This window comes from Homo sapiens, chromosome 10 (assembly GCF_000001405.40).
Source record: "Homo sapiens chromosome 10, GRCh38.p14 Primary Assembly".
NCBI classification, from domain to species: domain Eukaryota; kingdom Metazoa; phylum Chordata; class Mammalia; order Primates; family Hominidae; genus Homo; species Homo sapiens.
The window spans coordinates 77377318-77392684 of record NC_000010.11 but is presented as its reverse complement, the minus strand read 5'-3'; the positions used below and the strand labels follow the sequence as shown (position 1 = coordinate 77392684).

Genomic DNA, 15367 nt, shown 5'->3' with positions numbered 1-15367 from the left:
CCTCTGAGCTATTCCTCCATCCCTTCATCCATTCCTTCAAACATTCTGGAGCACCTGCTCGGGGTCAGATACTGTTCAATGTGCTGGACATATGTTGGTTCATTCAGCAAAAGCTGCAAAGTGCAGTCATCCAAAGTGTTGAAGGTGGAAATGTTATGCTTGCATTTTCTAGAATGATTTGGGGTGGCAAGGTTTCTGAAGTAGGGTTTAGTGATAAGTCAGAACCTGTGACCCATCTCTCAGTCCCTTGGACAGGCCTGGGAGCTCAGACATTCTAGTCCTGATTGCACATCCTGTGCAGTTCTGCAGCTGAATCCCAGGGGCCTGGGCAAATATGTGAGTAGTTGGTTTCCCTCCCTGCCTCCCTCCCTTCCCTCCCTTGCCTCCCTTACCTTCCTTCCCTTCCCTCCCTTCCTTTCCCTCCCTTCCCTTCCCTCTCTCCCTTCCTTCTTTCCCTCTCTCCCTTCCTTCCTTCCTCCCCACTGCCCCCTCCCACCTCCCCCACTCCTCCCTCCTCCCTCCCTCCCTTCCTCCCTCCCTCCCTTCCTTCCTCGCCTCATTCCATTCCTCCGTCCTTCCCTCCCTCCTTCCCAACCCATGAAAGCTGGCGCCCCCTGGAGGCATTTCAGGAAATGAAATGTCTGTATTTGCGGCTACTGAGTTGGGCTGGGAGACTTTTCTTACCCAGGTTTTCCCCCAAGGCCTTCAGAGGGTGCTGATGGCTTAGCACTCCGTTTTTGTCAGAAAAATATCCTTAGAGCCTCCATTTCAGCTGCGAGAAAGTTTGTTTAGCAGGGAGACTCAAAAATAGAGATGATGATGACAAAGTCATCAGCCTTTGTCGTTGCAGGGGAGTGCATGCTTGGAAAGTCACACTCGGGACCACACGCAAGCTGATGCTTCCAAGTTTAGTTTACGAGGCTATGTTTAGGAGGAGGCAGACTGACTCGTGCCTACGGGCCCCAAACAGCCCAATTTGGTGCACTAAAAGCCTCATTTTTAGACTCTGGGTCCAGAGTGAGGCTTTTTCCAGAAAAAAACAAACAAACAAACAAACAAACAAACAAACAAAAAACCTACTTCAGGGAAATGACAACAACAGAAAGCCACCATTTGCCCTAAAATTTTTATTGTAAAAACTATTCTCTCCTGTTTGAGTAGTGAGGGATCTAGGACATAACAGTGGCTTCTCTGGCTTTCTTAAGGAATCAGGGCACTTGGAAACTCAATTAAATGTACCCAAGCCTCTTAAGCACCAAGGCTATCTTTTTGCTCATCCAGTTAATTTCAGTTTGTAAAATTGGCCTTGTGCTGACATGATGGAGACGGGGTGAGGGTGGGAAGCCAGGGTCCTCTGTGAGCGGAAGCTTGCTTCTCTGTTCACAAGCCTCCAAGGGCACACATCCTTCCCTGGGGCATCAAGGGGGACCATTAAACCTGTTTGCACCACGTCCCTGGGAGAGCAAACTTCTGGGCCTTCCTTGTTTACTGGAGGTTGGTTAATTCGGAAGGTAGATGGACTGGGCATATTGGTTCCCCACTGGCAGGAGCAGCCCAGGATTCAGCAGGTTAACGCAAAGGATCGAGAAACTATCACCTTCCTAGAACTGTTCCCAGACTTTTAGCAAACAGGCTGAATTTTGACCTTTTTCCCATTTTTCTTTTTAATCCTCCCTCCCCACATGTTTTGTGGCTTTTGGTGAAATGGCTGTCCTAAGGGAAACAGGACAGTTCATTGAAAAGGAGAGAGAAAGTAAAGACCCCTTTCCCACACCACCTTCCCTCAGATGCAGCCTTTGCTTACACTAAAAATAGCTTGAAACAGAGGCTGAATCACAAAAAAAAAAGTGGCATTTCAGGGGACAGAGGCTGCCAGCTCCCTGGCTGCTGCTGAAGTCTGTTGGGTTTGTTGGTCTCTGAGCCCCGACTTGCCCAGGAAGGCGTGGGGTTTGGAAGTGTACTGGGATAGGTCCAGAACATTCTTTTTGTTTCTAGAGCAAGGGCCTGGTTGTGTCTGCCTTGGTTGGAGAGTCTGTCCAGAGCTAATTATATCAGCAGGCACTGATAGAGCCTCTGCCTGGTGTTATGCCTCAGGGGTGGAAAATCACTTCCTGCAAAGGAAAGGAGTTGTTTTCAGGAGCTCCTTAATCCCTGAGGCACCTGCATGGGCTCCCAGGGAAGCTGCCAGGAGGTTATTGTTTCCTCTGAACCATGAGGTGGGCAACTTGGTTTCTTGGCCACCTGAGATCTCTCCAGGAAAAAGCTCAGATCATCAGAAAGAGAGAAAACAGTTTACTCACCTTGGTCTATGCTGTGTGTCTCTCTGGCCCTTGGGGATTCATGACAGTGTTTGAGATCAATTCTGGATATGGGAGAAGAGAGGCAAGTCACTTACTTTTATCTGAGGAGCTGCAATCAGCAGAAACCTGGATACTAACCCTGGCTTTGCTATCACTTTTCTGGTTGACCTTGGACAAGTCAATTCCCTCTCCAAGGCCTCAGCATCTCCATAAATAGAGGGGGCCGCAGTAGTTTTTCAGTAGTTCGTTCCCTTGCAGCCCAAAATATCTTTATGTTTTCTTATCCCCTTCACTGTCCTTCATCAGCAAAGGCCACAAGTGTTAGGCTCACATCTACTGTGCCCTTGGCCCTGTGCTAGGCACCAGGAGAACTGCAAAAGGAGAGAGAATGCACTTTTCTTAGCTGCCAGAGTGATTGGCGTGAAGCAGAGTTCATCAAGGGGTGTCTCTGCATGGCTCTCCCATGGTTTTGCCTCCATTTGAAGTAAAATCTGAAACTGTGTCCCTGGCTTACAAGGCCCCGTGAGTTACGGTGCCTGCTTTTGACTCACCTCCAATGATTCTTTTCCTTCTTTGCTCCTTTCTAGAGAAGAAGCAAAGCCTATAGGTAGAAGCATGTAGATGGGCCTGAGGCACTGGGCAGGGGGAAGGATGCCGTGGGAGGAGGGGGCCATATTCCAAAGGGCCAGCTCAATGAGAAGGAGTTGGCTTCTTTTGAATCATTTCAGCCATGGAGCTCTCTTTTGGAACCTTCCTCAGTTGGAAGCCTCTAAGGGGATGTTGTTCCTAGTTGGTATCAAACGTGGTGACCCCACTAGCCCCAAATTTGACTGGAAGAGCCTCCTTTCCAATTGAGTATCCTCTGCTTGAGGAGCTCTTGGGTGAGATAACAGCCCCTATCCTTTGCTCTTTGTATTGCTTTTGACTGAACTGCTGCAAATCATGGGGCCCCTGAAAGTCCATCCCTCCTCCAGAGGTAGAAGCGCCTCCATCTCTGTGTACCTGAAAACAATAAAAGGCATGTTTATTTAAAATAATGACTGCCGGAGGCCCCCAGGAGGGGCTGAGGATCGAGGAAACATTACTGTGGCCAAAGTCATTTTTTATTTCTGGAGCAAGGTAGCAGACTCAGGGGGGTGGCAGGAGCTGCCAAGCTAGCCCCCAAATTTATAGCAAGGGTGTTAAACACTGTGGGTGATCAGTGGAGTTGACATTGCAGAAATTCCCCAAATGAAAATTCCTTGTAGGTTAACTTTTAGATGAACTTTAAAAAACAGGGGCAACAGACCCTCAATGGGCTATTTCAAGTGTTTCCAATTTCATTAACATGATTTAAGCAAAGACTCCCCCTTGCCTCCCTGGATGCTAAATTAGAAAACATCACTATTCCTCTGCCCTTGTGCCTAGTTTGCAAACCAGTGGGTTTATCTGGTTGTTTTCCCCAGAGTTGGAGCACTGCAGCTGTTTCCATAGCACTGCGGCCCACAGGGAGTTGTGTGTTGGGGGCTCAGTTGTTGTCTTACAGAAAAAAACCTTGTAAAGGCAATTCAGCAAGCCACCCTTCTAGCACCAAGAGATACAATTCCTCTTCCCGGGGCTGAGATGGAGAGATACAGATAGAGAGAAAAGAAATAAATAAATAACCAGTTTCTCTTTCATTTAACTCTCAGAAACAGCCTCTGGTGCTAATTATTTCTGCTGTAGATTTTGTCAGACTTTGAATCCCAATCCTTTTGCCATAGGTGGTATATTTTAGAGATGCAAAATGATATAAAAAACAATCCACTTTCCTGAAAGATAATTTTGTGTACATTAAACAGACACATTAAGCCATTTACAAGAGAGTTGTTTGTTCTCAGGGATTTGGAGGAAATCTGAATTTCTAATTCTGGGCTCTTTAATAATTTTCAAAAGAACTGAGGCTAATGATTAAACGTCTTTGAACTTCCCCAGGCTGTCTTCTATCCCATGATCTCAAAGCATTTGAAAAGGAATAGAATTCTTTACCTTGATGAAATCAGCAGGAGAGTAGAGGAGACACCAGCCCCACCAGGAGCTTTGTGGCAGAATGGGGGAACGTAAAGTAAAGAGGCTCAAGAAAAGTGCACAAGGTCACTTTCAGAGCTTCAGATGTGGAGTTGAATGAAGAGCCTTCATACCAGTTCTTATTTCACAGCCTTGGCTGCTAAGACTTGGAAAGAAGGCCAAAGAGAAAAGAAAACCAAGGTAGGACTTAGTTAAGGATGTCTATAATGAGATTACACATGACATGCAATCTTATCTGGCTCTAGTGTTTAAGGATTAGAAGAGATCAAGTCTAGCAATGGTGAACTTTCATCATCTTTCATCAGCTTTCATCTTCTGGGTTCATTCTGATTGATCAGTAGCAGCTACAGAGAATATTTGGCCAAAGATTTAAGGTTCAGCAGCAAACAGTCATAATGGCTCTGCTCTAAAGAATTCCGAGGGCTGGGTGCAGTGGCTCACGTCTGTAATCCCAGCACTTTGGGAGGCCAAGGCAGGTGGATCACTTGAGGTCAGGAGTTTAAGACCAGCCTGGCCAACATGCTAAAACCCTGTCTCAACTAAAAATGTAAAAATTAGCTGAGCATGCTGGCAGGCACCTGTAGTCTCAGCTACTTGGGAGGCTGAGGCAGGAGAATCACTTGAACCTGGGAGTGAGAGGTTGCAGTGAGCCGAGATCACGCTACTGGACTCCAACCTGGGTGACAGAGCAAGATTCCATCTAAAAAGAAAAGAAAAGAAAAGAAAAGAAAGAAAAGAAAAGAAAAGAAAAGAGAAAAGAAAAAAAAGAAAAGAAAAGAAAAAGAAAAGAAAAGAAAAGAAAAGAAAAGAACAATTCCATGACTGACTAATGATGCCTGCCATGAGTGCCAGCTTGGAGGGTGGTAGTACTAGTGTTATTTGTGCCTTAGCTACCTGTTCTAGGTCACATTCCCTAAAGTTTACATTATGTGTGATTAAAGTGGGGCTTGTCCAAGGTCATTTGGTCAGTTTCAGACATGTCTCCTGACCCTGTCTAGTATTTGATACCCCAGCTGCATAGGTTAGACCTCAGAGAAACAGCAAATTTGTCAGCTTCCTGTAGCAGCCTTCTTTTTCTTTTCTTTTTTCATATTGCAGCCTGACTTCAGATTTTTCCATCTGGAGACTTTCTTTAGTGTTTGGAGAGCAGAGGGGGTGGATTTCAGAGCCACAGTGATTCTACAGACAAACAGAAATGCAAGCACAATTTTCCTGTTTGTTATGTCCACTCTCAAAATTCTCTTTGCATGAAGCACACGCTGATCACAGCCCTCCCACTGCAAAGCCTTCCCCTCAGCCCACTCCCGGGTTCTTTCTCCCAATCGCTGCAGATGCCTTTCCCTGTGCCCCACTCCCCCGGCACTGTAAAAAGCTTTTGGTGGGGGTTGATGCGTCATCATTTCCTTCCATCATAGCCTCACCTTCTATTTCTTCCTGTTTCTCCCTTAATGTTCTTTCTCTTAGCTATTCATGCTCACATCTTAATGGCTGTGCTTACAGAGATAAATACATTTTGCCTCTGACCAAAAACAGTTTCTGCCCTGACTTGAATTTAAAAGCCTGCCAGAATTGCAGTGGGGAGCAGAGGCAGAGTCCTCAGTTTCATCCTGGGAGCCATAAAAGTTTTCTAAGAGTTTATCATCTCCATCAAGATGAAAATGGGATTTCAAGGCTTCAAATAGGAAAGATAAATAACAAGGAAAACTCCAGCTTTTGTCAAAGCAAAGTTCTCTTTACCAGTTTTATGAGTCTACCTGTTGTGCCTGCACCCTGGCATCTGTTTCACTGTGGTATCAGACAAAGCCTTCTCCAGGAATTTATGCAAACCTACGACTGGATAGAGAATTTCAGGCAATTGGTAGAGCTTGGAAGACGGCTGACAAGTCATATTCTTGGGCCGTAACTCACTCTCAGACTCCTCATTCGTTCCTCAATTCTTCCTCTTCCCCTTCCAGCATAATGGGAATTGGAATAGAAAGCCCTATTAACTGTAAGGCCTAGGCTGTGATTTATAGGACATTATAACAAACGGGACTATGGTTCGTTGTACTTGGCTATCTTTTGCATTTGAGGTGGCCAGGATTCTTTGTCAGGATTAGATTTTGCCCCCTTGGCCTCAGTAAATGGCTGCATGCAACTAGGAAAGGCTCAGCCAGTGTTTCCAGCTGCTCAAGATGACCCCATGTTTCCTTTGAGGAAAGCAGTGCTATAGAGCACCCATGTGCCACTCTGGATGGCCACGAAAGTGCCCAGTGAGTGCTCCTTGGAACTTGTTTCTGATGTGAAAGTTTTGGTGGGAAACTCGGGGAGACATATTACATCCTGGTAGGAGGCACGTCCTATGGATTTGCCCTTGATGCTTCTTTTTCCATTGTCCTGGCTTAAGCCCTGTGACCCCTTCCTTCACTCATTATAGCAGCTACATGTCACTCTCCTCATTTGTCCCATCTCCCCGCTTCAGTCCATCTTTCATGCTATTGCCAGATGAATTTTCCCCAAAGCCAGCTTTGCTTAGGTTTCCCCATGGCTCAGAGACCTTCAGTGGCTTTCCAAGGTCTAAAGCCCAAACACTTCAAGCAAATGGTCAGGGCCCCTATCCTCTTTCCAACCTGTCCTTCTTCTGCTCTCCTCCATGCACTCCATGTGTTCAAATCCTACCTCATCTTTAAGATGCAGTGCATAGTGTTTCCTCCTCTGAATCCATCAGTCTTGGAGAGTATTCGCATACACTTGTGAATGTGACTTATCCACTCTAAAGGCAATGAGGCTGAGTGGTTAAGAGCACAGGCTATAGAGCCAGACTGGCTGAGTTTGACCTTTGTTCTGCCATGTACTAGTGTGACCCTGAGCCAGTGACAGAAGACAATCGTAGTACTTACCTCATAGGGTTATTATGCAGATTACATGACCTAATATTTATAAAGTACTTAGTACAGTAGCTGGGGCAGACTAAGTGTTGTATACATTGTTAATAAAACATAGTAAACTGTAAGTTCACTGAGAGTCAGAAACATGTGGTTTAATTTTATAATCCTCTTTGTCCTGTGCTGGGCTGAAACAACCTTGAACCAGATTGCTGTGAAAATGAAATTTGAAGAGAGAGAGAGAGAAGAAATATATGTGAAAGCACATTGTCATATTTTTATTCAATAATCAATAATTCAATAATCTTATTGAGTATCTGGAGAGACCAGGCTCTCTGTTGGGTAATTGTTGATCAAAATGGAATGAGATATAAATCATGTATAAACACATTGAGTATGACTGTGTAGAAGACAAGTGGCAAACATTATTCTTCTCTTGTCCCCATGTTACAGGTGAGAAAACCAAGGCTCAGAGAATCTTTAATAGCTTAGGTGAGATCACACATCCAATAAGCATCTGAACTGAGATTTAAATCTGGGATCTCATGACTCGATGACCCAGGCTGTTTTCATGTTACCATGGTGCTTCTCATTCAAGAATGAGTGAAGGAATGAATGGGCATAGGAAAGAATGAATGAATGGGAAGATCTCAAACATACGTGGCTCCAGAAAGAGAGCAAACCAGAGGCTTGCCATAGAAAGTGAGTTGTAAGTCAGCTTGGGCAGGTAGCAAATCCCTGAAGCCATAACCATTTGTCCAGTCGAGCATTCACTATGGTGGTGAGATGGGGCAGTTTCATTGCCTCCCCTTTGGGGACCACCTTGCTACCCCTAGTGTCATACCTCAGTGCTCTCCAGTTATTTCCCTCTGTGGCAAGAGTGGCTTTATTTTCTTCTCTTTTGGGTATTACCCAGGACAAACAGTGGATGTGACGATGGATGGTAAAGGTACGTCATCATTCCCTCTTTGATGTGCTTTCATCATAATGGGCCTATTTGGAAGGTTTCCATAAGTACAGGAACAATGCCTCTCCACTGGGCTTCGTCAGCCACCAATGATCCGAGCACCAGGGAAAAAGTCTGGAGTGATGCTGGCTGGTTTCCATGGCAACCACGGCTTGCCTCAACCCTGCACACATGCTGCCCTCTTTCCAAGTAGGAATGTGTTTATTTATTATTGGTCCAACCTGGGAGTGCCTGTGCAGCTGCATAGGTGTTGTCCCTACCTCTGCCATTGAGGTCATGTTCTCAACTGGGAGATGAAATCACAGCTGGGTGATGGAGGCACGGTATTTGCTCCACCAGGAAAAGCTCTCATTTAGGCTTCAGATCTTGTATTGTCCATCAGCGTGATGCCAGTGATCTCCGCGGGGGTTAGAGAGGCTGATCTAGAACCATTAGAGTCAGACACCATCTAGGGTCCTGCGGTGAATCGCAAACTGCCCCAGAGAGCTGATGGTGACGCACAAATCTTTCATAAACATACAGCATGCTGCTGTCCCTTGGAGATGCCCATGAGCTGGCTGAGCACGCACAAGCCTGAGAAACTTTAAACCTGGGCAGTCCAACACCGGTGGTCAGTGAGCATCTGAAATATGAATTGCTGTGTGCTGTAAAGCTGGGAGTAGTAGTGCACACCTGTAGTCCCAACTACTTTGGAGGTGAGGCAGGAGAATCGCTTGAGGCCAGGAGTTCAAGGACTGTGCAGTGAGCTATGATCATGCCAGTGCACTCCAGAGAGACCCTGTCTCTAAAAAAGCAACAATGCTGTAAGTGGAAATTTAGTACAAAAAAAGACTGTAAAAAAACCTTATTATAATGTTTATATTGATTACTTATTGATAATATTTTGTATAGATTAAACTCCATTATTAAAATTAATTTCACTTTTTTCTTTTTACTTTTAAAAAATATGCTTTCTAGATGGATAATGGTGATGGCTGAGCGACCATGTGAATGTACTTAATACCACTGAGCTGTATACTTAAAAATTACTTAAATGGTAAATTTTATCTTATGTATATTTTATCATACTAAAAAGAAAGCAAAAAAAAAAAAAAATCTCGAGGTTAAGCAACCATCTCTCCAGGCCTCTTCTTCAGCAGTCTGGCCCACATTTCTAGAAGCCCCCAGCACACCTGCACATTTATTTCACAGGTCAAGAACCAGTCACAGGTCGGTCCTAAGCCAATTGTTGGCATAAGAATGAGAGCACCAGGGCTTGCTCAGACTAATCGAGGTCTGCCCAGGAGTGGGGCCAGCATCAGTTTTGGTGAGGTACCTGCACCCCTGAACAAAATCAGGGTTCTCTGAATGAGGGAGGGGGATGGAAATGACTGTTAGGAGGCAATCAACATTATAATCTTAAAGAAAAATGTACAAGAAAATTAATGTATGGGAGTTACAAGTGAGAGCAATCTGAAAACTTCTTTCCTCCACTTGGAATATATATATATATATATATATATATATATATATACACACACACACACACACACACACACACACACACACGTATATATATGTATATGTGTATATATGTATATATATGTATGTGTGTGTGTGTGTGTATATATATATATATATATTTTTTTTTTTTTTTTTTTTTGAGACGGAGCTTTGCTCTTGTCTCCCAGGCTGGAATGCAATGGTGTGATCTCGGCTTACTGCAACCTCCACCTTCTGGGTTCAAGTGATTCTCCTGCCTCAGGCTCCTGAGTAGCTGGGATTACAGGCACCCACCACCACACCGAGCTAATTTTTGTATTTTTAGTAGAGACAGGGTTTTACCATGTTGGCCAAGCTGTTCTCAAACTCCTGACCTCAGGTGATCCACCCGCCTTGGCCTCCCAAAGTGCTGGGATTACAGGTATGAGCCACCATGCCCGGCCCCACTTGGAATATTATTTGTCTTTAAATTTGCATAGAGTTGTAAATAAAATAAGTGTCAAAGAAATGTGCCTTCTAGAAAATTTAGAATGACCTGTGTGGTTTGTCTTATGTTTCTTCTGGACAGCGATGCTGATAGGGGCTCTTCTCCTCCAATTACAAACTGTCATCTTGGACAAGCTGCTTCACTGTGTCTCACTTGCTTCATCTGTAAAATGGGAATAATGATAACACCTGTTTCATAGACTTGTTAGTTAATACATGTAAAGTGCTTAGAATGTGTCTAGCACATAGCAGGAGTTGAACAAGGATCACCTCTCATTAGGGGCTGCAGGGGGACTGGTGGCTGCTGCTGAAGCCTTCAGAACCTCCCTTCACATGCTCACCACAGCTCCTCCAGCAGGCAGAAGGCTTACTCGGTGGTGCAGAGAAATTACCCCAAAGGAAGCTTTTCATCAGAGGTGGCTGATGAGTGCCTGATGGATGCCTTTTCCTCCCTAGATGGTCCCAAGATGACTCTTCCTAGATGAAGGGCCTCCTCCTGAGCCTTGTTGTAGCTCAGTGGAAAATAAATAAAGAGGGAACAAAAAGTCCACGAAGAAGAAACAGTTTGTTGGGTGGCGCCTCTCAGGGCCAGTATGATTTAATTGACGTCAAGCCTGTTATGAGTACTCATGTGGCTAGGATAAGTGGCATTGGAAGCCGGGTTGCCCAGCATCCTTGCTCTCAGAGCCCCACTTGATGACCTTCTTAGGGGTTAGTGCCTATCAGGAGGCTGTTTTGAGAGTATCTGTGGGGAAGAAGGGCTCAGATTTAAAACTGATTCTAAGTCAACAATTCAAAAATATAAACAAGGGAATTTGTGGTTGCTCTCACAATTAATTTGGACCAGCAGCCCACTGGAGACATTGCTGGGAACCCCAAGGAATGTAGGGATTTAAAAAAAAAGTCATTGAAACTTAGACCACAATCACTGGGTCCCAACAGGCTCTAGTGTTAATTCAAATTGCTATCTATTGGGTAGAGAAAGAGAATTTCAGTGCCAGAAGCTACCATAGAGATACCTTGTAGTTCCACCTTATACTGCCGAGAAGGAAACCGAGGCCTGGAGGGAGCCCATGATGTGTTCATGTTTACACCGCAAGTTAGTGTTAAATATTCCATTTTTTGGAAGGAATTTTACTTACATGCATATTTTCCATTATGTTTATAAATTTCCCCCTATTTTAAATTATCCCCATTCCCTACTAATTGTATCTTTCATTTTTTCTTTATAAACCTTATAATTCTCTAATATACTATATATACTTTATTTATTTTACTTATCATCTATCTTCCCCTGTCTCCACTAAAATCCAAACTAACTCCATAAAAGCAGGGCTTTTTGTCTGGGTCACTCCTGTATGGTTGACACTTATTTCCTGGAACACAGTAGGGGCTGAATGAATGAATCTGTTGAACGAATGGATGAGAGCCTGAATGGGTCTCATAGACCCATCTTGGTAGAAGTAAGTTCTCCTTTGGTCATCTAATTCAGAGAACCTTGGGGAGAAATAGAAAAGCCATTTCCACTCCAAATGGGAATCTAAGGTCAGAAAAGCACAGGGTTGCCCAGGGCTAAGCTGTAAATATTGGCATTCTGAGAAAGAGGTCATAAGTTTGGAGACTTTGCACTTTCTCTTTGGAAATGGAAAAGTCATTTCATTTCACCACATCCACTAAGGTGCATGAAGTAAACAGCAGACACGCTGGATGCTTGGGGCATCATTCCTTCAACAGGGACAACAGCTTTCATGAGGGTTCTACTAGGTTAAGTAGAGAGGAGCAGATTTTTCAGGGGAAGGGATGGCAGAAGCAAGGCTGAGAAGTCAGGCGTGATCATTCATCTGAGCTCCTACTATGTGCTGGGCTCAGAACCAGATGTGGATCTACAGCTTATTTATGGGTGCATTTGAGGGAGTAAGCGTTTATGAGTAGGACAATGAGGGAGAGAAGGATTAACATTTTCTGCCCGTTTCCTGAAATGTGTCTTAATTCCTTCCTAAGGAAGGCTGACCAAGAAAATAATGCAAGAAGAGAAAGTCTCTTCAAAGGAGCCCAGCTAGGGGCTGTAGATGAAAGGATTCCTTTGTGAATAAAATGAAGGAAGGAAACTGAAGTGGTTCAGTGGTTGAACCACTGGCTGAATGAAGACCTGAAATAAGGGAAATGCTTCTCAAAATTAGAGACCAGGCTGGGCTTCCTAAAGACGACTCATGCGGAGGGAGGCCCCTTGAGCTGGAGGGCTCAGTGGAAACCTAGAGACAGAAATGAGATGTAGCAGTCAAGCAGAAATTGAAGAATGTTCTTTATATTGATACCCACCATGTGAAGAGGGTGACAGTGAGTGTGATGCCTTTAGATGCACATGAAAGAACTTTCAGACGACAACATAAAATTTCCAAAATATTTTGTTTAACCTGTTCACACACTTTCATTCATTTTTCCCCCTCTGAGAGTAACTATTTGTAACCCCAACTAATAATGAACACTAGTGTTTATGAAGGATTTACTAAATGCCACCTACAATACCAGGTGATTTTTCTACATCACCTCATTAATCCTCATATCCCTACTATGAGAGTAGGTACCGCATTCATCCCCATTCAGTGGAGCCCATAGGGGAGGAAACTGACGTGGGAGGCTGGCTCAGTTCCCTTAGTGATGGCAGTCTGATGGAGGTGCTGACCCAAGTGGACACCAAATGTTTTGTATTGAAACATAATACAGTGCAGCATTATGGGGCAGGGATGGGGAGCTGCTGGCCCATGAGCTGGATATAGTCTTGATGTGATTTTATGTCATTAAGGAAACAATTACTAAGAGTAACACACCCTTTACTCCTGTAGTCATAAATCTGTAGTCTACTTTTAAAATCTACTGATAAGCTTCCAAAATTATGGGTTCCTTTAAGAAAGTTTCTCTTTAGTTCTAATTTTATTATTGTTGTTTGTTTGATTGTTTTCTTTTCTGCCTACATATGTCTGATTTTCTCTTCACAACTGCATCCTAGATGCCTTCCTTAGTCTCTTCTGCTTCTCTTCTGTTACTCTTGTTTTCTGCTTCTATATATTTATCTGCTGTTTTCCTTTCTGTACTTTTCCCTCTTCTGTCTGTACCCATTAGTATCCCTTAAATGCCTGTGAAAAGGAATTCAAGTGAGTTCTTATTGCTTATTGGGTAGAAGAGGGTTTTATGCTTTAATTTAAAAATGGTTGAGGATTTAATAGTATTTCTGTCTTTAAAAGATAATAACATTACATTGCTTTTTTACTTTATTTGTATTAGAAAAATATTCTGACTCTCCATTAGGCAGTTGTCCTTGATAGAGTGGGAAAAAGGCTCAGAATTCCGTCAAGCAGGTGTATCAAGAAGTTGCTATTTGGTCTGTTGTCTTTCCTGGTTATTCATTATTCAGTTTAACACAGAAATCATTAAACATACACTGTTTTCTATGGTGCCAAACATCAAATGAAACATGCTTAGGCCTGTGAACCAAGAACTTCTAGAAACCAGACAATTACCAAGGGCGTCAAAATGTCTCATCTTGTTGCTTGTAACTGAACAGTGAAAATGAGCGTACATGTAGGGGCCATGGAATGAGGATTTTAATTTGAATCAGAGGATGGGGTGAAGAGCAGTCATTTACAATATTACACAAGTCATCTTACAATGAATAATAATTCTATCTTGAAATTCCACCCTTCCTGCCATGTGATTATAAATTTGTTTATAATTGGGTAAGTCCCACCAGTCCTGTGAGATTGCACCATGCTTTATGTTTGCATACAGTGCTTTATGCTTGTCAAGGTGCTCTGCCTTCTGCTGTCTTATTTGGCATCTAAACATCCTAAATACCCTGAAAGTAATGAGACCTGGAGCTAAGAGCTCTCTTTACAATGAGGAAGCTGAGGATCAGAGAGCTTATGTCATTTGCCTTGACTACAGCAAGTTGCTAGTGGCTGTAGACCCAATGCAAACCCCACCCAAACCAGAGCCCCACCCAAACCAGGGCTTTTCTCTTGAATGCATATGGCAAGAGAGAGACATCCCACTGTCCATTGTGTTGAAGGTAGAAAATGCAGAATGTGGCAGAGTGAGCTAACCCGCTTGGTGGCCCTCACCCTGGCAAGAGACAGATTTTCCTTCCTCTCCCTGAAGGGTTAAGACAAAGAAAATATCTGAAACTTTTCCTAGCTGAGCCTTTGCTCCAGAACTCAGACACTTTTGCGACGGAAGTGGGGCATTGGGGAGGCAGAAAAAGCCAATACATAAAAAAGCAGCAACCTCACCACCTCACCTGGGTCCCCATGAAACCATTCCACCCAGATGAGTGAGTCAGTGGGTGTTCTTTTCATGGCCTGTCGGCTCGGTGGCACCTGAGGCTGCAGTGACCCCCAGTGCTGCTTCAGGTGAATGAGCACACAGAGCATTTTCAGAACTATGGCTTACTCTCTCAGTGTATAGCAGTTTAAGTGCTAGGGACTTCTCTGAACTCATTGAAAGAAATAAAGCCCCTCTGTCTTTGTATCCCTAGAATTGGAAGCTCATGTATTTGTGATGCTGGAAAGGGCAAATATTCATTGAAAGAAAATAGCTCACATTTACTGAGGTCTCACTATGAGCCAGGCACGGAGTGAAGCAACTGGTTGGCCTCACCTTGAACTCTCACACCCAGACTAGGAGCTAGGCACTGTGATAACTGCTGTTTTACACAGGAGGGAACTCGGGCTCAGAGTGGATGAATGACTTGCTGAGGGTTGCACAGCTATTAAGTGGTCTGCCTCCATAGCCTCTACTTCCCAGGATCTCCAGCAAGGGATATCTCCTGAGGCAGTGGCTTTCACACTCTTAGAGGCCTGGAGCTCTGTGTACACTAACTGAAACCTAGCTGCTTTGGTTAGAGGATTGGGGTCAGGAGGAGACTGTATCCTCATGGCCCAGCAAGAGTTCCGCAAAACCCTTGGGATTCTCAGTAGAGCAGATCAGGATGCTAATGCCAGCCTTCTCTGGAAGTCTGTCTCTTTGAAGTTGAGGTCATTTCCACCACACCCCAGAGGGACCCATCTAGTCGACGCCTGCCTGCCTGGCCACCACTTCCCTACTGGAAAATCATCATTTCCCATGTTCTAGTTGGGGAAGGACCCAGCAGCTCTTTCTCTTTGGCCCATCTCTCTTCCTTTTATGAGCCAGCTAAAAGGAATCCCCCAGAGGTCATCTTTGTCCTT

At 44.2% G+C, this 15367-nt stretch overlaps 1 protein-coding gene across 54 annotated transcripts in view; it reads left to right on the top strand.

Annotated features, from left to right (window-relative positions):
* KCNMA1 (potassium calcium-activated channel subfamily M alpha 1) overlaps positions 1-15367 on the top strand; it is a 768207-nt gene that overhangs the window by 245124 nt on the left and 507716 nt on the right. The window lies entirely within an intron of this gene.